The sequence below is a fragment of the Homo sapiens genome, chromosome 1, assembly GCF_000001405.40.
Source record: "Homo sapiens chromosome 1, GRCh38.p14 Primary Assembly".
Lineage (NCBI taxonomy): Eukaryota > Metazoa > Chordata > Mammalia > Primates > Hominidae > Homo > Homo sapiens.
The window spans coordinates 148,521,654-148,545,602 of NC_000001.11; the positions used below are offsets into that span (position 1 = coordinate 148,521,654).

Here is a 23,949-nt window from a genome sequence, read left to right on the forward strand (position 1 = left end):
TTTGTCAAATTGGGATTATTTTTGTGTCTTTGGAGAATATAAAATACTAATATGAGGTAAGCACTAAGGTTCTGAGATGGCCGTGGAAGAGATGACAAACTCCATCACCATGCCTGAGAGTGTCCAATCGTCTCTGCGGGGGCCACATCATTTTGTATTACACTGTATTTGAAATAACAACAACAACAAAAAACCCTTCAAGATTCATAAAATTGGACAACTGTCTTTGTAACACTTCTAGTGGTAAAACCAGTAAGGATGGCTAGTTTGCAACCCATCTGAGCAGCCTCTCTGGTTTCATAGATATGTTTTCTCTCTGACATTGAACGGCTTTCAACTTGAAGCGGAATGCTACATCACAAAGATAAACAGGTTTGAAAGGAACCGGTTTTCCTTGTAATCCTAAACGTTCAAGTCTGCGCATTAAAAGACATTATCTGAAGAAGGGTGCACAAGCTTCCTGTTGGCCGCCAGAAGGGTTCTCTGCAGGACACAGATCAAGTACCACAGTCTTAGGGGGAGACCAGACGCGGGGTCTCTGCGAACCTCCCCAAAGGACAATGGCAGGAGGAAAAGGAGAAAGAGACAGACGTCACTTCCTCCGCCAGCTCCGGCAGCGGGTTGATGGGCTGAGTCGGCGGAGGGTAGGGCGGAAGAGCAGACGGGGACTGGGAAAGGCGCTGTCGGTGACATCACGGATAGGGCGATTTCTATGTAGATGAGGCAGCGCAGGGGCTGCTGCTTCGCCACTAAGGAGTTCCCGTGCCGTGGGAGTGGGTTCAGGACCGCTGGTCGGACCTGAGAGTCCCAGCTGTGTGTCAGGGCTAGGAGGGCTGTGGGTGGTGGGGGGGGGGGGTGGGGGGGGGGGGGCGTGCGCGGGGCAAGTGACCGTGCGTGTAAAGGGTGAAGCGTGTGAGGCTGTGGCGGGGCGGAGAGTGCAAGAGTTCATACTTACCTGGCAGGGGAGATACCATGATCATGAAGGCGCTTTTCTCATGGTCGCGGCTTATCCATTGCGTTCCAGATGTGCTGACCTCTGCGATTTCCCCAAATGTGGGAAACTCGACTGCATAATTTGTGATAGTGGGGGGCTGCGTTCGTGCTTTCCCCTGGCGCTTTTGTGGTGCGAATAGTAGATGAGCCGTAAGTGTTTTTGTAATTCAGGGTGCGGGCTCGTGTTTTGTGGCTGTGTTCTGTCCGGTCAGTTGTTTCCGTTCGCAACGGTTAGTTTTCCTTTGTGAGGCCATGTTTAGGGACAGGTTAGAATTATCCACTTACTCTCTCGGGAGGCGAATTTCAGTCTCTGTTGGTTGGGGTATTCTCCCAGGTTAGCTGCCGCGGTACTTGCTAGGTGGAGCTCAGGGATCAAGGGTCGGGAGCTTTCTGGTTTGTTCAGTGCTCCCAGGGCTTCTAACATCTCTTAAAAACTCTGGTGTTTTCTGTCATCCTCGGAGTTACCTCTTAGCCTCTGTTTTTTTTGTTGTTTTTTTTCCCCCCCTCCCTAAGACAAGTCTCGCTGTACCGTCCAGGCTGGAGAAGTGGCGCGATCTTCCCATCTCAGGCTCCCGAGTAGGACAACCGCACGCCACCACACCCGGCTAGTTTTTTCTCTTTTTTTTTCTTTTCTTTTCTTTCTCTTTCCTTTCTTTTTCTTTTTTCGTAGCGGTTTCACCATTCTGCTCAGGCTGGGCTCCAACTCCTGGGCTCAAGTGGTCCGCCCAGCCTTCTGAAGTGCTGGGATTACAGGTGCGATCCATCTTGCCCTGGCAGCTCCTGCTTTTCACCACAGCATTCACGGGAGTTTGTAGGATTTCTGTGCTGGGGAAACGTGTACTCAGTTAATAGAGCCAGGTGGAAGTTGTACTCAGAACTGGTGGTTTTCTTTGGAATGAAAACCGTGCATGTTGGGGGCTCTTAGTGTCCCCGTTCGGTTGTAGACATAACACCCTTGCTTTGTGTAGGGGGAGGGCTTTGCCCGTGCCCTGGTGCCCCGGCGCAGGGCATCGAGGCCTGCAGATCAGAACCGCAGTCTAACCTATGTCTTGGCGGAATACCCTGCTAATTCTCCCTGGAATGTAAGATGGGAGGTCTTGCGAGGAGGTTTCTACAAGTAAGAAAACAAATTTCCATTCGGTTTTTATTGACAAAATTGAAAATTATAATAACTGAGTCCAGCCTCTCAGATGACAAATGTCTTTTGCACTGAGAGCTGGGAACCGCCGCTTGCCTCAGCTCCTGCGTGCAGGTGCAGCCCTCGCTTCCCTCCACACTTTCTCCAGCGGGTGTCAGTTCCTCCACAAGAGGCAGACAGCGTTCTGCAGAACCACAGCGCTCAAGGCCTTCGAGAGCCAAAAATCTCGGAGCGAGCTGCCCTGTCCTGGCTGTACCTCACGACTGACCTAGAAATGGCCTTTGCTGGGAGCAAAGGGTAGGGGGGAGATGGTCGTCGGAGCTGGGGCCTGTGCACTGGACCAGGTTGACCCACGGGAGGGGAGGTACCCAGAATTAGAAGGGGGCCAAGCACTGAGACCTCACCATCCTCAATCTCCAAAAGGACTCAGAGAGATGCAGAGACTGAGACAGGCTTCCTTTTTCAAGGAAAGAGAAAACTACTGAGGAAGGCCCCAGGGGCTCTGAACCAAAATCCAGACTTTTTTTTCCACCTGCAGCTTTTTGTTTTTATTTTTGCTTGAGAAGGTGTCTCGGTCTGTTGCCCGGGCTGGAGGGCAGTGGCGCAATTTCGGCTCATTAAAACCTCCATCTCCCGGGTTCAAGCAATTCTCCTGCCTCGGCCTCCCTAGTAGCTGGGACTACAGGTGCCCGCCATGACGCCCGGCTAATTTTTGTATTTTTATTAGAGACGAGGTTTCACCATGTTGGTCAGGCTGGTCTCAAACTCCTGATCTCAAGTCATCCACCCACCTCAGCCTCCCAGAGTGCTGGGATTACAGGTGTGAGCTACCGCGCCCAGCCCGCACCTGCAGCTTAATCCCATTTCGCTGGTGCAACTTCATCCTTCCGTATGCTCAGGCCAATAAACAGTACTGTAGGCTGGTCGTTCTTTGACCCCCATACATCCTATTGGTCGGAAAATTATGTTTTCTCTTTGGTTAACTGCAGACTTTGATATGCACACTCTTTCTTGGTCTGAAACCCACCCAATAGTCCCATACGTAGATTTTTGGATAAACATAGAAATGGACCCTTCTGATCTGAAAGTTTGAAACTCGATATTTGTTTTATTTGAGTTCCTTCCTTCAGGCCTCTCAAAAAAGATATCAAAGAACTGAAAGTCACCCAGACAATGAGATGCCGGACCCCTCATTCATCCTGATTGCTTCCTTGCCCCTCCCTAGTTCCTGTTTTCTTTCTTTTCTTTTCTTTTTTTTTTTCTTTTTGCGACAGAGTCTCCCTCTGCCTCCCAGGCTGGAGTGCAGTGGCGCTATCTTGGCTCACTGCAAGCTCCGCCTCCCGGGTTCACGCCATTCTCCTGCCTCAGCCTCCCGAGTAGCTGGGACTACAGGCGCCGGCCACCACGCCCGGCTAATTTCTTTTCGTATTTCTAGTAGAGACGGGGTTTCACCGTGTTAGCCAGGATGGTCTCGATCTCCTGACCTCGTGATCCGCCCGCCTCGGCCTCCCAAAGTGCTGGGATTACAGGCGTGAGCCACCGCGCCTGGTCTAGTTCCTGTTTTCTTACACATTGTCACATTCTTTCCCTGCCATCTAAGCCTCTAGTTTTGGTTGGTCAGGGAGATGGATTTGAGACTGAGTTCTCATCTCCTCCGCTGCAGCACCCTATTAAAGCCTCTTCCTTGACAATAACCGTCTCAGTGATTGGTTTTCTGTGTGGCAAGCAGCGGGAACCCCAGGTCTCTGAACTTTGACAAAGGAATCTCCTGATAAAGGCGGGATCGATTTTACTGACCAAGCTGAAAACGATCAGACGTTTGAAAGCCTTAATCTCGGAGCCTGTCGGAGTTTGGTCTGCCCTTGAGGCTTTCCTTTGGGCCTACCAGTCAAAATCAGCCTGGCCAAACCTGTCTTCAAGGACCAGGGGCAGGGCCGGCTTCTCCCGCCGGGTCGGCAGCCACCTTCCCCTTCCCTGTGACTTGAAGAGAAGCTTCAGGGGGCGTTTATTCAATTTGCGAGGAGCCCGCGAGGCGCAGGTGCACGGTGACTCTGTGGTTCCCACCGCACCCGCTGCCCTCTTTGGTCCTCTCGCTGTCACCGGCGGGCAGTAACGTTCCGGGTGAGCTAGGGCTCCGAAGACACCAGGCAGGGAGGGACCAGTGGGTAAGGGCACCGCCCATTTAGGTCCTGCGCAGGAGGGATCCGAAAAAGGTCTTGAAGAAATAGAAAGGGAGAGCCAGATGCGGTGGCTCACGCCTGTAATCCCAGCACTTTGGGAGGCCGAGGTGGGTGGATCACGAGGTCACGAGTTCGAGACCAGCCTGGCCAAGATGGTGAAACCCTGTCTCTACTAAAAATACAACAAGTAGCCGGGCGCGGTGACGGGCGCCTGTAATCCCAGCTACTCAGGAGGCTGAGGCAGGAGAATCTCTAGAACCCCGGAGGCGGAGGTGCAGTGAGCTGAGACTGCCCCGCTGCACTCTAGCCTGGGCAACACAGCAAGACTCTGTCTCAAATAAATAAATAAATAAATAAATAAATAGAAAGGGAGAGTTGGAAGTAGATCAAATAGAAGAAAAGAAATCCTAGATTTCCTATCTGAAGGCACCATGAAGATGAAGGCCACCTCTTCTGGGCCAGGTCCTCCCGTTGCAGGTGAACCGAGTTCTGGCCTCCATTGGAGACCAAAGGAGATGACTTTGACCTGGCTCCTAGTGAGGAAGCCATGCCTAGTCCTGTTCTGTTTGGGCTTGATCCTGTAGCACTTGATTGTCTCTCCTGGACTTTCCATGGATTCCAGGGATGCAACTGAGAAGTTTATTTTTAATGCACTTACTTGAAGTAAGAGTTATTTTAAAACATTTTAGCAAAGGAAATGAATTCTGACAGGTTTTGCACTGAAGACATTCACATGTGAGGAAAACAGGAAAACCACTATGCTAGAAAAAGCAAATGCTGTTGAGATTGTCTTACAAACACAAATTGCGTGCCAGCAGGTAGGTTTGAGCCTCAGGTTGGGCACATTTTACTTTAAGCGCACTGTTGGTGGAACTTAAGGTGACTGTAGGACTTATATATATATACATACATATAATATATATACATATTTATGTGTATACACACACACACACACACACACACACACACACACAGGGTCTTGCTATCTTGCCCAGGGTGGTCTCCAACTCTGGGTCTCAAGCGATCCTCTGCCTCCCCTTCCCAAAGTGCTGGGATTACAGGTGTGAGCCACCTCGCCCAGGCCATTTTAATTTTAATTTAATACTTTTAATTTGAATACACAATCCAAAAATCATATAACAAGTACAGGAAACCCACTTTATGCCAAGTTTACAAAAACAGGAAAGATATGTCAATGACAAAGCGTCAAAGTGGCAACATCCTTAAGTACTGAGAGAAAAAAAGTTATTCTAGAATTCTATGCCAAATTGAAATATCTTTCAAAAATGTGACTGAAATCAGGACATTTAAAGACATACAAAAAAATGACAGAATTCACCGAACCACACTACAAGAAATATTAAAGGAGTCCTCCAGGCCTAAGGATAAGGATACCAAACAGAAATCTGAACCTACACAAAGAAATGGAGACGACTGAAAATCGCTATGTACGTACTTGGATGTTGGGGTTTATAACATGTCCAAAATCAAATTCCCTGACAACACTAGCATAAAGGCCAGAAGGGGAGGTATAATGTCACTTGATGGCAGACGGATAAAGATGTATTCTAGGGACCCTAAAGCCATCACTGACATAACAAAAGAAAGAGTTACAGCTAATAAGCCAAATAAGGAAAGAAAATAGAATGATATATAAAAAAAAAAACATGTAATCGCTGGGTGCGGTGGCTCATGCCTGTAATCCCAGCACTTTGAGAGGCCAAGGCAGGCAGATCACTTGAGGTCAGGAGTTTGAGACCTGCCTGGCCAAAACGATGAAACCCCGTCTCTACTAAAAATACAAAAATTAGCCCGATGTGGTGGCTCGCGCGGACCTGTAATCTCAGCTACTTGGGAGGCTGAAGCAGGAGATTCGCTTGAACCCGGGAGGCGGAGGTTGCAGTGAGAGCTGAGATGGCGCCACTGCACTCCAGCCTGGGTGACAGAGCGAGACTCTGTCTCAAAAATAAATAAATAAATAAATAAACAAACAAACAAACAAAAACTGTGTAATCCCTATGCTGGAGCAACTGCTCTCCAGGCCTCTACCCTATAGAAATACACAAATGGCCAATGAGAAGTGTACAAGAATGATCACTGCCGTATTATTTGCAATCATAAAATAGTAGCGCCAAAGTAATTTCAAAGATACATGAAAATCGTTTTATTTATTTAACAAACACGAACAATTGAACAAACCATGGAAGCAAGTCCTTTTGCCTAAAGGAACACAGAGGGTCATGCGGATGTTGCTCCTCCAAGGATTTCGGTGTTCCCCAACGGCTAGTTTTGGGTCTAGTTCTTCTGGAAGATCTTATTCTTGGGGAGCTACAGGTTCTGGCGTTTGGGGCTCTTTCAGGTTCTATCTCCATTTTCCCCTCAATTCCTCCCCATTCTGCTATAATAAAAAAAAATTCTCACCTCCGGAAGATCCCGCCTGTGCCTCCCCGCCAGCCTTTCAGGAGGTCTGGACGTCTGGTCCACCGCTCCCCGGCTTCTTTCCCCGCTTTTGCTTTTCCCCTCCCCTGCTCCCGCCCTCCGGCCTCAGGACCCGACCACCGCCCAGCTGAGCCCCCGCGGCTCCACGGCGCAGAAGGTGCACTGGAGGCCCTGCCCGTTGCCGCCCCGCGGGGTGCCAAGAAGTCCACGTAAATAAATGCTTTGTAAAAGGAACTTCCCCATGGAAAAATCTCTCATGATTTCCATTCTCAAGGCTCTTCAAAGGACTAAAAGCTAAAAGGATGGATTCATTCGACAAGTCCTAGTCCTGCGCCCTGGTGAGTGCCAGACCCTGCTCCCCGCGAGGGGGACCCACGAGCCACCCTCACCACGATCCCTGCTCTGGTGGAGCCCCCGTGCGGAACACAGGATCCGAAGATGGCAGCGGAAGCTCCGCAGCGGCCCCAAAAGCGACTGGGCAGGGAGGGCACAGGCTCCCTCACTGGGTGAAGGCGGCGCAAAGAACGGGAAGAGCCATCCCGGGAGCCACCGGGCGTTCAGCCTCCCTAGGGCCCCCAGGCGGCTCGGGCCGGGGTCTCAACCGGGGCGTTTCCGGGGGTTTCTGAAGCAGGTGAGGGGCAGGGCGGGCGAAGGCCATTCGGCTATCCTTCTGGCTCCAGAATCTCCCAACGCGCAGGTGTCCAACGTGACCAGCGCGACTTACCGCTCCAATCTCTCCGGTCTTCCAAGGCCTGCTCAGTCGTCCTGCTGGGCGGGCCCTGAGGATGCAAGGGACGGAGGAAGTTTCGTGCGTGCGCCCTTCCTATAGCGCCCAGTAGAACTGACAGTACCTGTCTCTGTGGCGCAATCGGTTAGCGCGTTCGGCTGTTAACCGAAAGGTTGGTGGTTCGAGCCCACCCAGGGACGCTTGTTCGAGCTTTTAAAGTATTCATATATTGTCAATCACTAGATAAATGGGGAAGATTTTATCTTCCTGGAGTCCTAAGCCACTAATTTGTGACTTATCCATGTCAAGGGCCAGCCCATCTCCCCGACCGGATTCTTAACCGGGTATCTCCTGAAATCCTGGGTTTATACGTGTGTAACTCAGGAATCCTGAAACAGAGCCCTAGGAACCCACTTCTGGTGTGATAAAATTCTAATTCAGTCCGTTATACGCTTAAACGAGTAATTTACATGCCTTCATTTTTTCATATTTTAATAATAGGAGGTCAGTAATATCCCGAGGATGTGCCTGGATTTACTGATTGCTCTATCAACAATGTGACCAGTGGAATCATTCATCATCATAGTGATCCTCTCCATCATTTTTGAAAAGAGTATTTTTCCTCAGTTTGTGCATGATTTATTTAACCCTTTTCAAAATGTTTTTGTTAGCCAGGCATGGTGGCATGTGCCTGTAATCCCAGGTACTTGGGATTCTGAGGCAGGAGAATCATTTGAACCTGGGAGGTGGAGGCTGCAGTGGAGGCTGCACCAGTGGAGGCTGCACCGCTACACTCCCGCCTGGGCAACAGAGCGAGACTCCATCTCAAAAAAAATAAAAATAAAAAAATAAAGTTTTTGAGATGAGGTAGGTTTCATTGTTTTAGGATTACAAAGAATGCTGCAGCCACCTTTCTTGTACACATATCTTTGGTCATTGTGGAAATGTCTACACCGCAGATATTTCTATAGTGTAGGGAAGTTGATGCACTATTGCTACATTATAGGGTTTACATGATGCTTCTAATTTGAGTACATTCCGCAAATGTATCTTTCACGGGAGCCGTACCAAATAATATTCCAATAGCAATATTTATAGGAGGAAAAATGTGCAGAAGTGCAATTGAGCTTCGTGCCTCTCCATGGGGCCCATGTTCATAAAATGGTGGCATTAGCAATCATCTGAGAGTGGAGTTTGTGGCCCTCTGACATCAAAAGCTGAAGCAAAGGACATGAAAACCCTCACTGTGCATCCTCTCTAGTCTGGCCAGAATCATTCCTAGGTCGGTGGTCTCTTATCAGGAGGGAATGCTGCTTGCTTGTTTTGTCAAAATCACAAAACTGAGGAAAAGCATCAGGCCGTTGGTTGATAACAGTGGTGAAGCAAGTCTTTCCATAGGGCTGGTTTGTTGTTAACCCTTAGGGAAAAAAAAAGCCTTTTTTTTTTTTTTTTTTTTTTTTTGAGACGGAGTCTCTCTCTGTCGCCCAGGCTGGAGTGCAGTGGCGCGATCTCGGCTCACTGCAAGCTCCGCCTCCCGGGTTCAGGCCATTCTCCTGCCTCAGCCTCCCGAGTAGCTGGGACTACAGGTGCCCGCCACCACGCCCGGCTAATTTTTTTTATTTTTAGTAGAGATGGGGTTTTACCGTGTTAGCCAGGACGGTCTCGATTTCCTGACCTCGTGATCCGCCCGCCTTGGCCTCGCAAAGTGCTGGGATTACAGGCATAAGCCACCGCACCAGGCCAAAAAAGCCTAATTCTTACCAGCTGGTGCCGTGCAGTTCCAGGCTCTTGGTGTCCCAAACAAAGACACCAAGAGCCTGGAACTGCACCAAAAACCAAAACCAAGGTAGGGGCAAGATGATAATCACAGAATGTCACCGGTATATGTTTAGGTTCAAATACTATTATGAGAAGTGGCAGGTAAAGGAGGTAGGAAAAAGAAAACACATCATGTAATTGACTGTTGTATGGAAATATTTGATGCTGAAAGTTATAATTTAAAACTATAAACCAAATATTAGAAGTGTGTCTAGTCCAAAGGGAGGAAAACCATCAAAAACATTTTTAGTGCAATATTTAACATGAGCTATACAACCCTTCCTAAATGCCAAAGGCACACACAGACACACACACAGACACACACACACACACACACTCACGAAGAATACAAATGACTAGAACCAAGAAATGTAAATACATTCTGCTACATATGGTAAACATAGCCTACAATGTGGAAGAGATTAGAAAATAAACATGGAAATGAAATGTTTTTATTAATTCGCATCAGTACCCACCAAAACCAATCACCATAATCAAATATTATAACACTGAATGTAAAAAACAATCCAAAAGTCCAGAGTGATAGGCAAAAGGTTTTAATTGTATAGATTAAAATTAACTTTGGACAAAAATTAAAACTCAGGCAGAGAATGTCTTCTTTTTGCAACAGCAGACACTAGTAAAAACAAAGGCACAGTAAAAATTGAGACCCCAAATTTGCAGTGTAGAGATATGAATATAATAATAGACACAGGCAGGGAGGATTAATAAATGATAAAATGTTTAGAGGATGATCATTAGAATACAGGATATTTATACTCTTGAAAACCACTTTCCCAAGTACTTCATTGTAAGTAAGGTGTCTCTAAAAGGGACAGATCTCCTAGACCCCTCCTTAACCAAGTAACCAGTCCTGATATCATAATGGTGATGGACAAACTAGACCTTCTCTGCCCGCAGATGGGCTGAGGTTGGAAACTCACAGCATTGTCTCTGCAGTGTTCCTGGCAAAACGTTTAGGCTGAATTTAATCATGAAGACATTTTCAGACAACTTCAGAATGTAGATCATTGAGCCAGACAGCTGACCTGTCTTCTATAAACAAGTCCATGTCACCACCATCCATGACAACAACAAAAAGATGAGGAAATATTTGGGGTTCAAAATAACTAAAGAAATGCAGCTACATTATCTTTTTACTTTTTTTGAACCCAAAATATCTCTTCTCCTTTTTGTTGTGTGATTTGTGGTGATATGGACTATGTGAAGGAGACAGGTCAGTTGTCCTGCTCAGTGTTCTACATTCTGCAGTTGTCTGGTGATTACCTCCTATGAAACTCAGGCTAAGCGTTTTCTGCAAGAACATGGCATTGTTCATATTCTGCACCGGCAGAGTCCTGGGTGACATGCTGTCTCCTGCCAGCGACTCCTGACTCCTGACCTCTACAGGATGGAATAGAGAGGAGCAGGGCTAAGGCCTCCCAATGCTGTTTGTCCATCTAGCTGTGGTCTTCCTAAGTACTGACACCAATTGGAGGCTGAAGGACTGTGGCTTCTCTAACCAAAGGAGTCTAGCGGGTTAACAATTGTCAAGAGCAGTTGGTGGTTCTGAAATACAATCCTCAGCCAAGGATCCCTCCTGTGTTACAGATGGATCAGCTAAAACAAGCCAACACTGAAGACACAAAGAATGAGGTTAGGTTCATTGAAACCAGGGTAACACCTTTGGATGAGCTAAACACAAAGATGACAATGACCTTGAGCAGGTATAGAAGCTCAGAGACATGCCTGCAAAATGAAATCCCTGAGGAATTTTGTAGCTACCCAGAGATACGTGGTTCAAATTAAAATGTCTGACTGATCACTCCCGGCATGTGCTGCACAGTTATGTGAACGTGTCACACCTAACGTGGGTCCATTGTCTTCAGACTGCGCACAGGTTTCCACTGGCATGGTTTGAGAATAGGAATAGAGCCATGCCCACTGACCCATCCTATGTCTGGGCTTCCAAATGGAACTGTACTTTCATTCAAATCTTCACTTGCCTATAGGTCCTGCCTGCAGGAATGACATCTCTCGGATTACTAAGGGCTGCTTATTGTGGGAATATGACTCCCATCTGGAACACCAGGTGGAGACTTGTCACCGTCAAAGTAAAAAACCTATTGTCCACGTAAAGGGCGAAGCTGATGTGCTGTTCCTCAAATGAGTAAAACACACTTCTGTAGTGCTGGAATGAGTCAGGTAGTTCAAAGTACATTGACGGAGTCGAATAACATCTATCCAGTGAGTCCTGTAAGACTTCACGCTCTTCCACTTCCATCAGCACGCCGTTGAGCCTGGAAAAGGAGACAAAACTAAAGAAGCAGCCAGGGAAAATCAGACACCACAGAGCCCCAGCTAGATTTCAGAAGCAACATAAGGAAGTGGTTAGAAAAGAAAAAGGATAGAACCATTAATGAGGTAAAAAAAAAATTTATTGCCTTTATGTTGGGATAGAACAGGGCCAGGTAGAAAACAATGAAAGAGAAAGACAGAGAGAGAGAGACAGAGACAGAGACAGAGAGAAAGTGACCTAGTGAATTGGCCAGGTGACATACTGGTAAGGGAGTCAAAGGACACTCTGAGTTAGTGCCCTCATGACACACAGCAAACTGTGATCATGAAAAGAGTGAGCTCAATAGTTTTCCATAAAATATGCTCAAAATTCGATGCAGTGGCCATGAGAGTACAGCTTTTGAAGTATGGTCAACCTATGGTACGTTAGGAAATGATAAGGGGAGGAAGAAATGGAAACCTAAACATCTACTGCAATGAAAACCAACAGCAATGACAGTAGGAGTAATTCAGCCTTTGTTGAAAATATGACATCAAACACACTCTGGTTTCCCTGAATCTGTTGCCTCCAGGAGTTAACACAGAACTAAGGATCCACAATTGCTGAAAGTCACCTGGGGCATGGTGGGTTTTGATCTTCTTCCCCTTCTTTTCTTCCCCTTCTTCTTTCCTTCTTTGATCTTCTTCCCCTTCTTTTTTTCCCCTTCCCCTTCTTTTCAATTTCTGCAATAAATTCAGACATGGACAGACACATTAAGCTGATTCCCCTACACACATAACAATCCACTGTCTAATCCTCACACAGGGACCTCAGGCTCCTCAGCATAAGAATAGGACACTGTGAGAGATATATTTCAGGAGGCCTGAAGGCTGGTCATGATAGAAATTCCTCGGTTTTTCTCCCAGAAACTGTGGGTAAAATGTCCCTATTCTAGTAGATCGTTATCCCAATATCATTTGTCCCAAGTTTCTGCAAACAGTTACGCCATATTTTTCCAATCAACGTAAAGCAAATACCCTCAATGATTTCTAGGAGAAAAACTGCAATATTTAGCCCTGTCTCATCAAATACTCAGATTGTTCATGGTAGTGAGGACTCCAGACACTGAAATTAGAGTGAAAAAGGAAATCTACAAACCCTTGAGTCAAAATCACAGTTCTCTGAATTTGTCACATCTGCCCAGGTCCAATGTCATGAGAATAGGATCAGGGCGCCACAGGTATGGCCTGAGACTAGGAAGAGAGTCTTGCTCACTGACCCATTTCATGTCTAGGCTTCCAGCTGAGACTACAGTTTCATTACAACCTATATGCGCCCATAGGTCCTGCCTGCGGCAATGACATCTCTCGGGTGAGTAAGGGCCACTTGGAATAGGAATATCACCCCTATCTGGAAGACCAGGTGGAGGCTTATCACCTTCATAGTAAGGTACTCACTGTCCACGTCAAGAGCCAAGCCAAGGTACTGTTCCTCCAATGAGTAAACAGCACTGCTGTAGGGCTGGCCTAAGTCAGGCAGTTCAAGATAACCTGAAGGAGTCGAATAACATCTATCCAGTGAGTCCTGCAAGACTTCAGGATCTTTCTCATCCAGCAGCTCCCTGCTGAGCCTGGAAAAGTAGGAAAAAGTAAAGAATAAGCCAGGGGGAATCAGAAACCACACAGCCCCAGCTAGATTTCATGGCTAACATAAGGAACAGTTTAAAAAGAAAAAGGACAGATCCATTAATGAGGTAACGAATTATTGCCTTTATGTTGGGATAGACCAGGGCCAGGTAGAAAAGAATGAAAGAGAAAGACAGGGAGAGGGAGAGAGAGAGAGAGGAGAAAGTGAGCTCAGCGAATTGGCCGGGTGACACACTGATGAAGGGGTCAAAGGACACTCTGAGTTAGTGCCCTCGGGACACACAGCGAACAGTGATCATGAAAAGAGGGGGCTCAATAATTTTCCATAAACTTGCTCAAGATTCCATACAGTTGCCATACAGCCTTTGAGGTATGGTCAACCTACAGTAAGTGAGTAAATGATAAGGGGAGGAAGAAATGGAAACCTAAACATCTACTGCAATGAAAACCAACAGCAATGTCAGTAGGAGTAATTCAACCTTCGCTGAAAACATGAAATTGAACACACTCTTGTTTTCCCTGGACCTGGCATCTCCAGGTGTCAACACAGAATTAAGCATCCATAATTGCTCAAAGTTACCTGGGGCATGATGGGTCTTGGTCTTCTTCCACTTCTTGGTACTTTTCAATTTCTGCAATAAGTTCAGACATGGACAGACATATTAAGCTGGTTCTCCTACACACATAACAATCCACTGTCTAATCCTCACACAGGGACTTCAGGCTCCTCAGCATGAGAATAGGACACTGTGAGAGATAGTCTTCAGGAGGCCTGAAGGCTGATCACCATAGAGATTCCTTGGTTTTTGTCCCAGAAACTGTGGGTAAAATTCCCTATTCTGGTAGATCGTTATCCCAATATCATTTGTCCCAAGTTTGTGCAAATGGTTATGCCATATTTTTCCAATCGATTTAAAGCAAATGCCCCCAAATGGCTGCTAGGAGAAAAACTGCACTATTCAGCCCTGTCTCATCAAATACTCAGATTGTTCATGGTAGCGAGGATTTTAGACGCTGAAATTAGAGTGAAGGATGAAATCTACAAGATCTACAAAATTGAGACAAAATCAGAGTTGTGTGAATTTGTCACATCTGCCCAGATCCAACATCTTGAGAGTAGGATTAGGGCGCCACAGGCATGGCCTGAGACTAGGAAGAGAGCCTTGCTCACTGACCCATCCCTTGTCTGGGCTTCCAAGTGGAACTAGAGTTTCACTCAACCTACATGTGCCTATAGGTCCTCCCTGTGGCAATGACATCTCTCAGCTCAGTAAGGGCCACTTGCAGTAGGAATATGACCCTAACCAGAAGACTCAGTGGATCCTTATCACCTTCATAGAAAGGTACTCACCATCCATGTCAACAGCCAAGCCAACACGCTGTTGCTCCAATACATAAAAGGCACTTCTGTAGGGCTGGCATGAGTCAGTCAGTTCAAGACAACCTGAAGGAGTTGAATAACATCTATCCAGTGAGTCCTGCAAGACTTCAGGCCCTTTCTCATCCAGCAGCTCCCTGCTGAGCCTGGAAAAGTGGGAAAAAGTAAAGAATAAGCCAGGGGGAATCAGAAACCACACAGCCCCAGCTAGATTTCATGGCTAACGTAAGGAAGAGTTTGAAAAGAAAAAGGACAGATCCATTAATGAGGTAACAAATTATTGCCTTTATGTTGGGATAGAACAGGGCCAGGTAGAAAACAATGAAAGAGAAAGACAGACAGAGACAGAGACAGAGACAGAGACAGAGACAGAGAGAAAGTGACCTAGTGAATTGGCCAGGTGACATACTGGTAAGGGAGTCAAAGGACACTCTGAGTTAGTGCCCTCATGACACACAGCAAACTGTGATCATGAAAAGAGTGAGCTCAATAGTTTTCCATAAACTATGCTCAAAATTCGATGCAGTGGCCATGAGAGTACAGCTTTTGAAGTATGGTCAACCTATGGTACGTTAGGAAATGATAAGGGGAGGAAGAAATGGAAACCTAAACATCTACTGCAATGAAAACCAACAGCAATGACAGTAGGAGTAATTCAGCCTTCGCTGAAAACATGTCATCAAACACACTCTGGTTTCCCTGAATCTGTTGCCTCCAGGTGTTAACACAGAATTAAGCATCCACAATTGCTGAAAGTCACCTGGGGCATGGTGGGTTTTGATCTTCTTCCCCTTCTTTTCTTCCCCTTCTTCTTTCCTTCTTTGATCTTCTTCCCCTTCTTTTCTTCCCCTTCCCCTTCTTTTCAATTTCTGCAATAAATTCAGACATGGACAGACACATTAAGCTGATTCCCCTACACACATAACAATCCACTGTCTAATCCTCACACAGGGACCTCAGGCTCCTCAGCATAAGAATAGGACACTGTGAGAGATATATTTCAGGAGGCCTGAAGGCTGGTCATGATAGAAATTCCTCGGTTTTTCTCCCAGAAACTGTGGGTAAAATGTCCCTATTCTAGTAGATCGTTATCCCAATATCATTTGTCCCAAGTTTGTGCAAACAGTTACGCCATATTTTTCCAATCAACTTAAAGCAAATACCCTCAAATGATTTCTAGGAGAAAAACTGCAATATTTAGCCCTGTCTCATCAAATACTCAGATTGTTCATGGTTGTGAGGACTTTAGACACTGAAATTAGAGTGAAAAAGGAAATCTACAAACCCTTGAGTCAAAATCATAGTTCTCTGAATTTGTCACATCTGCCCAGGTCCAATGTCATGAGAATAGGATCAGGGCGCCACAGGTATGGCCTGAGACTAGGAAGAGAGTCTTGCTCACTGACCCATCCCTTGTCTGGGCTTCCAGGTAGAACTAGAGTTTCATTCAACCTACATGTGCCTATAGGTCCTCCCTGTGGCAATGACATCTCTCAGCTCAGTAATGGCCACTTGGAGCAGGAATATGATCTTTATATGGAAGACTCAGTGGATCCTTATCACCTTCATAGAAAGGTACTCACCTCCCACGTCAAGAGAAAAGCCAACATGTTTTTCCTCCAATGCATAAAAGGAACTTCCATAGGGCTGGCAGGAGTCAGGCTGTTCAAGACAACTGGAAGGAGTTGAATAACATCTATCCAGTGAGTCCTGCAAGACTTCAGGCTCTACTACCTCCAGGAGCTCCCTGCTGAGCCTGGAAAAGGAGGAAAAAGTAAAGAATAAGCCAGGGGAAATCAGACACAACAGAGCCCCAACTAGGTTTCATGGGTAGCATAGGGAAGTGGTTAAAAAACTAAAAGGATAGATCCATTAATGAGGTAACAAATTATTGCCTTCATGTTGGGACAGAACAGGGCCAAATGGAAAAGAATGAAAGAGAAAGACAGATAGACACACACACACACACACACACACACACACACACACACACACACAGAGAGAGAGAGAACGAGCTCAGTGAATTGTCCAGGTGACACACTGATGAGGGAGTAACAGGACACTCTGAGTTAGTGCCCTCAGGACACACAGCATACAGGGATCATGAAAAGACTGTGCTCAATAATTTTCCATAAAATGTGCTCAAGTTTCCATGCAGTCGCCATGAGAATACAGTTTTTGAAGTCTGGTCCACCTACAGTAGGTTAGTAAATGATAAGGGGAGGAAGAAATGGAAACCTAAATATCTACTGCAATGAAAACCAACAGCAATGTTAGTAGGAATAATTCAGGCTTGGTTGAAAAGATGTAATCGATAATGTCAGCCCGCTCTGTTTTCCCTGAACCAGGAGTCTCCAGATGTCAACACAGAAGTAGCTGTTCACAATTGCTCAGTTACCTGGGGCATGGTGGGCCTTGGTCTTCTTCCTCTTCTTGGTCCTTTTTAATTCCTGCAATACATTCAGACAGGGACAGACAAAATAAGCCAATTCACCTACACCCATAACAGTCCACTGTCTAATCCCCACACAGGGATCTCAGGCTCCTCAGCATGAGAACAGGACAATGTGAGAGATATACTTCAGGAGGCCTGAAAGCTGGTCATGATATTCTTTGGTTTGCATCTCAGAACCAAGGGTGAAATATCCCCATTCTGGTAGATCGTTATCCCAAAATCATTTATCCCAAGTTTGTGCAAACAGTTATGCTTTATTGTTCCCATCAGTTCAAAGAAAATGCCCCAGATGATTTCCAGGAGGAAAACTAAAGTATTCAGCCCTGTCTCATCAAATGCCCAGCTCGTTCATGGATGCAAGAATTTTAGACACTGAAATTAGAATGAAGGAGGAAATCTACAAACCCTTGAGTCCAAATCATACTTCTGTGAATTTTTTACATCTGCCTGGGTCCAATGTGCTGAGAGCGGGCTCAGGTTGCCACAGGCATGGCTGGAGACTAGGAATAGAGCCTTGCTCACTGACCCATTTCATGTCTAGGCTTCCAACTGAGACTACAGTTTCTTTACAACCTATATGCGCCCATAGGTCCTGACTGCGGCAATGACGTCTCTCGGGTCAGTAAGGGGCACTTGGAACAGGAATATCACCCCTATCTGGAAGACCAGGTGGAGGCTTATCACCTTCACAGTAAGGTACTCACTGTCCACGTCAAGAGCCAAGCCAAGGTACTGTTCCTCCAATGAGTAAACAGCACTGCTGTAGGGCTGGCCTAAGTCAGGCAGTTCAAGATAACCTGAAGGAGTCGAATAACATCTATCCAGTGAGTCCTGCAAGACTTCAGGCTCTTTCTCATCCAGCAGCTCCCTGCTGAGCCTGGAAAAGTAGGAAAAAGTAAAGAATAAGCCAGGGGGAATCAGAAACCACACAGCCCCAGCTAGATTTCATGGCTAACATAAGGAACTGTTTAAAAAGAAATAGGACAGATCCATTAATGAGGTAATGAATTATTGCCTTTATGTTGGGATAGACCAGGGCCAGGTAGAAAAGAATGAAAGAGAAAGACAGGGAGAGGGAGAGAGAGAGAGAGGAGAAAGTGAGCTCAGCGAATTGGCCGGGTGACACACTGATGAAGGGGTCAAAGGACACTCTGAGTTAGTGCCCTCGGGACACACAGCGAACAGTGATCACGAAAAGAGTGGGCTCAATAATTTTCCATAAACTTGCTCAAGATTCCATGCAGTTGCCATACAGCCTTTGAGGTATGGTCAACCTATAGTAAGTGAGTAAATGATAAGGGGAGGAAGAAATGGAAACCTAAACATCTACTGCAATGAAAACCAACAGCAATGTCAGTAGGAGTAATTCAACCTTCGTTGAAAACATGAAATTGAACACACTCTTGTTTTCCCTGGACCTGGCATCTCCAGGTGTCAACACAGAATTAAGCATCCATAATTGCTCAAAGTTACCTGGGGCATGATGGGTCTTGGTCTTCTTCCACTTCTTTGTACTTTTCAATTTCTGCAATAAGTTCAGACATGGACAGACATATTAAGCTGGTTCTCCTACACACATAACAATCCACTGTCTAATCCTCACACAGGGACTTCAGGCTCCTCAGCATGAGAATAGGACACTGTGAGAGATAGTCTTCAGGAGGCCTGAAGGCTGATCACCATAGAGATTCCTTGGTTTTTGTCCCAGAAACTGTGGGTAAAATTCCCTATTCTGGTAGATCGTTATCCCAATATCATTTGTCCCAAGTTTGTGCAAATGGTTATGCCATATTTTTCCAATCGATTTAAAGCAAATGCCCCCAAATGGCTGCTAAGAGAAAAACTGCACTATTCAGCCCTGTCTCATCAAATACTCAGATTGTTCATGGTAGTGAGGATTTTACACGCTGAAATTAGAGTGAAGGATGAAATCTACAAGATCTACAAAATTGAGACAAAATCAGAGTTGTGTGAATTTGTCACATCTGCCCAGATCCAACATCTTGACAGTAGGATTAGGGCGCCACAGGCATGGCCTGAGACTACGAAGAGAGCCTTGCTCACTGACCCATCCCTTGTCTGGGCTTCCAAGTGGAACTAGAGTTTCACTCAACCTACATGTGCCTATAGTTCCTCCCTGTGGCAATGACATCTCTCAGCTCAGTAAGGGCCACTTGCAGTAGGAATATGACCCTAACCAGAAGACTCAGTGGATCCTTATCACCTTCATAGAAAGGTACTCACCATCCATGTCAACAGCCAAGCCAACACGCTGTTGCTCCAATACATAAAAGGCACTTCTGTAGGGCTGGCATGAGTCAGTCAGTTCAAGACAACCTGAAGGAGTTGAATAACATCTATCCAGTGAGTCCTGCAAGACTTCAGGCCCTTTCTCATCCAGCAGCTCCCTGCTGAGCCTGGAAAAGTGGGAAAAAGTAAAGAATAAGCCAGGGGGAATCAGAAACCACACAGCCCCAGCTAGATTTCATGGCTAACGTAAGGAAGAGTTTGAAAAGAAAAAGGACAGATCCATTAATGAGGTAACAAATTATTGCCTTTATGTTGGGATAGAACAGGGCCAGGTAGAAAACAATGAAAGAGAAAGACAGACAGAGACAGAGACAGAGACAGAGACAGAGAGAAAGTGACCTAGTGAATTGGCCAGGTGACATACTGGTAAGGGAGTCAAAGGACACTCTGAGTTAGTGCCCTCATGACACACAGCAAACTGTGATCATGAAAAGAGTGAGCTCAATAGTTTTCCATAAAATATGCTCAAAATTCGATGCAGTGGCCATGAGAGTACAGCTTTTGAAGTATGGTCAACCTATGGTACGTTAGGAAATGATAAGGGGAGGAAGAAATGGAAACCTAAACATCTACTGCAATGAAAACCAACAGCAATGACAGTAGGAGTAATTCAGCCTTCGCTGAAAACATGTCATCAAACACACTCTGGTTTCCCTGAATCTGTTGCCTCCAGGTGTTAACACAGAATTAAGCATCCACAATTGCTGAAAGTCACCTGGGGCATGGTGGGTTTTGATCTTCTTCCCCTTCTTTTCTTCCCCTTCTTCTTTCCTTCTTTGATCTTCTTCCCCTTCTTTTCTTCCCCTTCCCCTTCTTTTCAATTTCTGCAATAAATTCAGACATGGACAGACACATTAAGCTGATTCCCCTACACACATAACAATCCACTGTCTAATCCTCACACAGGGACCTCAGGCTCCTCAGCATAAGAATAGGACACTGTGAGAGATATATTTCAGGAGGCCTGAAGGCTGGTTATGATAGAAATTCCTCGGTTTTTCTCCCAGAAACTGTGGGTAAAATGTCCCTATTCTAGTAGATCGTTATCCCAATATCATTTGTCCCAAGTTTGTGCAAACAGTTACGCCATATTTTTCCAATCAACTTAAAGCATATACCCTCAAATGATTTCTAGGAGAAAAACTGCAATATTTAGCCCTGTCTCAACAAATACGCAGATTGTTCATGGTTGTGAGGACTTTAGACACTGAAATTAGAGTGAAAAAGGAAATCTACAAACCCTTGAGTCAAAATCATAGTTCTCTGAATTTGTCACATCTGCCCAGGTCCAATGTCATGAGAATAGGATCAGGGCGCCACAGGTATGGCCTGAGACTAGGAAGAGAGTCTTGCTCACTGACCCATCCCTTGTCTGGGCTTCCAGGTAGAACTAGAGTTTCATTCAACCTACATGTGCCTATAGGTCCTCCCTGTGGCAATGACATCTCTCAGCTCAGTAATGGCCACTTGGAGCAGGAATATGATCTTTATATGGAAGACTCAGTGGATCCTTATCACCTTCATAGAAAGGTACTCACCTCCCACATCAAGAGAAAAGCCAACATGTTTTTCCTCCAATGCATAAAAGGAACTTCCATAGGGCTGGCAGGAGTCAGGCTGTTCAAGACAACTGGAAGGAGTTGAATAACATCTATCCAGTGAGTCCTGCAAGACTTCAGGCTCTACTACCTCCAGCAGCTCCCTGCTGAGCCTGGAAAAGGAGGAAAAAGTAAAGAATAAGCCAGGGGAAATCAGACACAACAGAGCCCCAACTAGGTTTCATGGGTAGCATAGGGAAGTGGTTAAAAAACTAAAAGGATAGATCCATTAATGAGGTAACAAATTATTGCCTTCATGTTGGGACAGAACAGGGCCAAATGGAAAAGAATGAAAGAGAAAGACAGATAGACACACACACACACACACACACACACACACACACACACAGAGAGAGAGAGAACGAGCTCAGTGAATTGTCCAGGTGACACACTGATGAGGGAGTAACAGGACACTCTGAGTTAGTGCCCTCAGGACACACAGCATACAGGGATCATGAAAAGACTGTGCTCAATAATTTTCCATAAAATGTGCTCAAGTTTCCATGCAGTCGCCATGAGAATACAGTTTTTGAAGTCTGGTCCACCTACAGTAGGTTAGTAAATGATAAGGGGAGGAAGAAATGGAAACCTAAATATCTACTGCAATGAAAACCAACAGCAATGTTAGTAGGAATAATTCAGGCTTGGTTGAAAAGATGTAATCGATAATGTCAGCCCGCTCTGTTTTCCCTGAACCAGGAGTCTCCAGATGTCAACACAGAAGTAGCTGTTCACAATTGCTCAGTTACCTGGGGCATGGTGGGCCTTGGTCTTCTTCCTCTTCTTGGTCCTTTTTAATTCCTGCAATACATTCAGACAGGGACAGACAAAATAAGCCAATTCACCTACACCCATAACAGTCCACTGTCTAATCCCCACACAGGGATCTCAGGCTCCTCAGCATGAGAACAGGACAATGTGAGAGATATACTTCAGGAGGCCTGAAAGCTGGTCATGATATTCTTTGGTTTGCATCTCAGAACCAAGGGTGAAATATCCCCATTCTGGTAGATCGTTATCCCAAAATCATTTATCCCAAGTTTGTGCAAACAGTTATGCTTTATTGCTCCCATCAGTTCAAAGAAAATGCCCCAGATGATTTCCAGGAGGAAAACTAAAGTATTCAGCCCTGTCTCATCAAATGCCCAGCTCGTTCATGGATGCAAGAATTTTAGACACTGAAATTAGAATGAAGGAGGAAATCTACAAACCCTTGAGTCCAAATCATACTTCTGTGAATTTTTTACATCTGCCTGGGTCCAATGTGCTGAGAGCGGGCTCAGGTTGCCACAGGCATGGCTGGAGACTAGGAATAGAGCCTTGCTCACTGACCCATTTCATGTCTAGGCTTCCAACTGAGACTACAGTTTCATTACAACCTATATGCGCCCATAGGTCCTGCCTGCGGCAATGACGTCTCTCGGGTCAGTAAGGGGCACTTGGAACAGGAATATCACCCCTATCTGGAAGACCAGGTGGAGGCTTATCACCTTCACAGTAAGGTACTCACTGTCCACGTCAAGAGCCAAGCCAAGGTACTGTTCCTCCAATGAGTAAACAGCACTGCTGTAGGGCTGGCCTAAGTCAGGCAGTTCAAGATAACCTGAAGGAGTCGAATAACATCTATCCAGTGAGTCCTGCAAGACTTCAGGCTCTTTCTCATCCAGCAGCTCCCTGCTGAGCCTGGAAAAGTAGGAAAAAGTAAAGAATAAGCCAGGGGGAATCAGAAACCACACAGCCCCAGCTAGATTTCATGGCTAACATAAGGAACTGTTTAAAAAGAAATAGGACAGATCCATTAATGAGGTAATGAATTATTGCCTTTATGTTGGGATAGACCAGGGCCAGGTAGAAAAGAATGAAAGAGAAAGACAGGGAGAGGGAGAGAGAGAGAGAGGAGAAAGTGAGCTCAGCGAATTGGCCGGGTGACACACTGATGAAGGGGTCAAAGGACACTCTGAGTTAGTGCCCTCGGGACACACAGCGAACAGTGATCACGAAAAGAGTGGGCTCAATAATTTTCCATAAACTTGCTCAAGATTCCATGCAGTTGCCATACAGCCTTTGAGGTATGGTCAACCTATAGTAAGTGAGTAAATGATAAGGGGAGGAAGAAATGGAAACCTAAACATCTACTGCAATGAAAACCAACAGCAATGTCAGTAGGAGTAATTCAACCTTCGTTGAAAACATGAAATTGAACACACTCTTGTTTTCCCTGGACCTGGCATCTCCAGGTGTCAACACAGAATTAAGCATCCATAATTGCTCAAAGTTACCTGGGGCATGATGGGTCTTGGTCTTCTTCCACTTCTTTGTACTTTTCAATTTCTGCAATAAGTTCAGACATGGACAGACATATTAAGCTGGTTCTCCTACACACATAACAATCCACTGTCTAATCCTCACACAGGGACTTCAGGCTCCTCAGCATGAGAATAGGACACTGTGAGAGATAGTCTTCAGGAGGCCTGAAGGCTGATCACCATAGAGATTCCTTGGTTTTTGTCCCAGAAACTGTGGGTAAAATTCCCTATTCTGGTAGATCGTTATCCCAATATCATTTGTCCCAAGTTTGTGCAAATGGTTATGCCATATTTTTCCAATCGATTTAAAGCAAATGCCCCCAAATGGCTGCTAAGAGAAAAACTGCACTATTCAGCCCTGTCTCATCAAATACTCAGATTGTTCATGGTAGTGAGGATTTTACACGCTGAAATTAGAGTGAAGGATGAAATCTACAAGATCTACAAAATTGAGACAAAATCAGAGTTGTGTGAATTTGTCACATCTGCCCAGATCCAACATCTTGACAGTAGGATTAGGGCGCCACAGGCATGGCCTGAGACTACGAAGAGAGCCTTGCTCACTGACCCATCCCTTGTCTGGGCTTCCAAGTGGAACTAGAGTTTCACTCAACCTACATGTGCCTATAGTTCCTCCCTGTGGCAATGACATCTCTCAGCTCAGTAAGGGCCACTTGCAGTAG

The 23,949-nt window shown here is 45.8% G+C and overlaps 1 protein-coding gene and 2 non-coding genes across 4 annotated transcripts in view, besides 4 other annotated features; 2 read left to right on the top strand and 1 right to left on the bottom strand.

Annotated features, from left to right (window-relative positions):
- Positions 504 to 563: an enhancer, noted in NCBI's record as "active region_1648". NCBI's record gives its function as "activates an Ori minimal core promoter by ATAC-STARR-seq in GM12878 lymphoblastoid cells {active_cell/tissue: GM12878}" and the evidence as "EXISTENCE:reporter gene assay evidence [ECO:0000049][PMID:35858748]".
- Positions 864 to 1,183: a silencer, noted in NCBI's record as "silent region_1286". NCBI's record gives its function as "represses an Ori minimal core promoter by ATAC-STARR-seq in GM12878 lymphoblastoid cells {active_cell/tissue: GM12878}" and the evidence as "EXISTENCE:reporter gene assay evidence [ECO:0000049][PMID:35858748]".
- On the top strand, positions 948 to 1,112 carry RNVU1-27 (RNA, variant U1 small nuclear 27). The gene has a single exon (NR_189288.1). It is a non-coding gene; the product is annotated as an RNA, variant U1 small nuclear 27 (small nuclear RNA).
- Positions 7,038 to 7,087: an enhancer, noted in NCBI's record as "active region_1649". NCBI's record gives its function as "activates an Ori minimal core promoter by ATAC-STARR-seq in GM12878 lymphoblastoid cells {active_cell/tissue: GM12878}" and the evidence as "EXISTENCE:reporter gene assay evidence [ECO:0000049][PMID:35858748]".
- Positions 7,573 to 7,832: a silencer, noted in NCBI's record as "silent region_1287". NCBI's record gives its function as "represses an Ori minimal core promoter by ATAC-STARR-seq in GM12878 lymphoblastoid cells {active_cell/tissue: GM12878}" and the evidence as "EXISTENCE:reporter gene assay evidence [ECO:0000049][PMID:35858748]".
- On the top strand, positions 7,604 to 7,677 carry TRN-GTT2-1 (tRNA-Asn (anticodon GTT) 2-1). Its single transcript has one exon. It is a non-coding gene; the product is annotated as a tRNA-Asn (tRNA).
- NBPF14 (NBPF member 14) overlaps positions 9,732 to 23,949 on the bottom strand; it is a 64,627-nt gene continuing 50,409 nt past the window's right edge. For both annotated transcript variants that reach the window (NM_001395631.1, NM_015383.2), the window contains 16 exons: positions 23,240 to 23,291; positions 22,471 to 22,643; positions 21,710 to 21,761; positions 20,901 to 21,073; positions 20,078 to 20,186; positions 19,297 to 19,469; positions 18,526 to 18,577; positions 17,757 to 17,929; positions 16,996 to 17,047; positions 16,181 to 16,353; positions 15,358 to 15,466; positions 14,571 to 14,743; positions 13,800 to 13,851; positions 13,031 to 13,203; positions 12,208 to 12,316; positions 9,732 to 11,595 (listed from right to left, as the gene is read on the bottom strand). In NM_001395631.1, the coding sequence (NP_001382560.1) occupies positions 11,352 to 11,595; positions 12,208 to 12,316; positions 13,031 to 13,203; positions 13,800 to 13,851; positions 14,571 to 14,743; positions 15,358 to 15,466; positions 16,181 to 16,353; positions 16,996 to 17,047; positions 17,757 to 17,929; positions 18,526 to 18,577; positions 19,297 to 19,469; positions 20,078 to 20,186; positions 20,901 to 21,073; positions 21,710 to 21,761; positions 22,471 to 22,643; positions 23,240 to 23,291 (2,042 nt within the window). In that variant the 3' untranslated portion in view covers positions 9,732 to 11,351. The remainder of the gene's footprint in view (positions 11,596 to 12,207; positions 12,317 to 13,030; positions 13,204 to 13,799; positions 13,852 to 14,570; positions 14,744 to 15,357; positions 15,467 to 16,180; positions 16,354 to 16,995; positions 17,048 to 17,756; positions 17,930 to 18,525; positions 18,578 to 19,296; positions 19,470 to 20,077; positions 20,187 to 20,900; positions 21,074 to 21,709; positions 21,762 to 22,470; positions 22,644 to 23,239; positions 23,292 to 23,949) is intronic.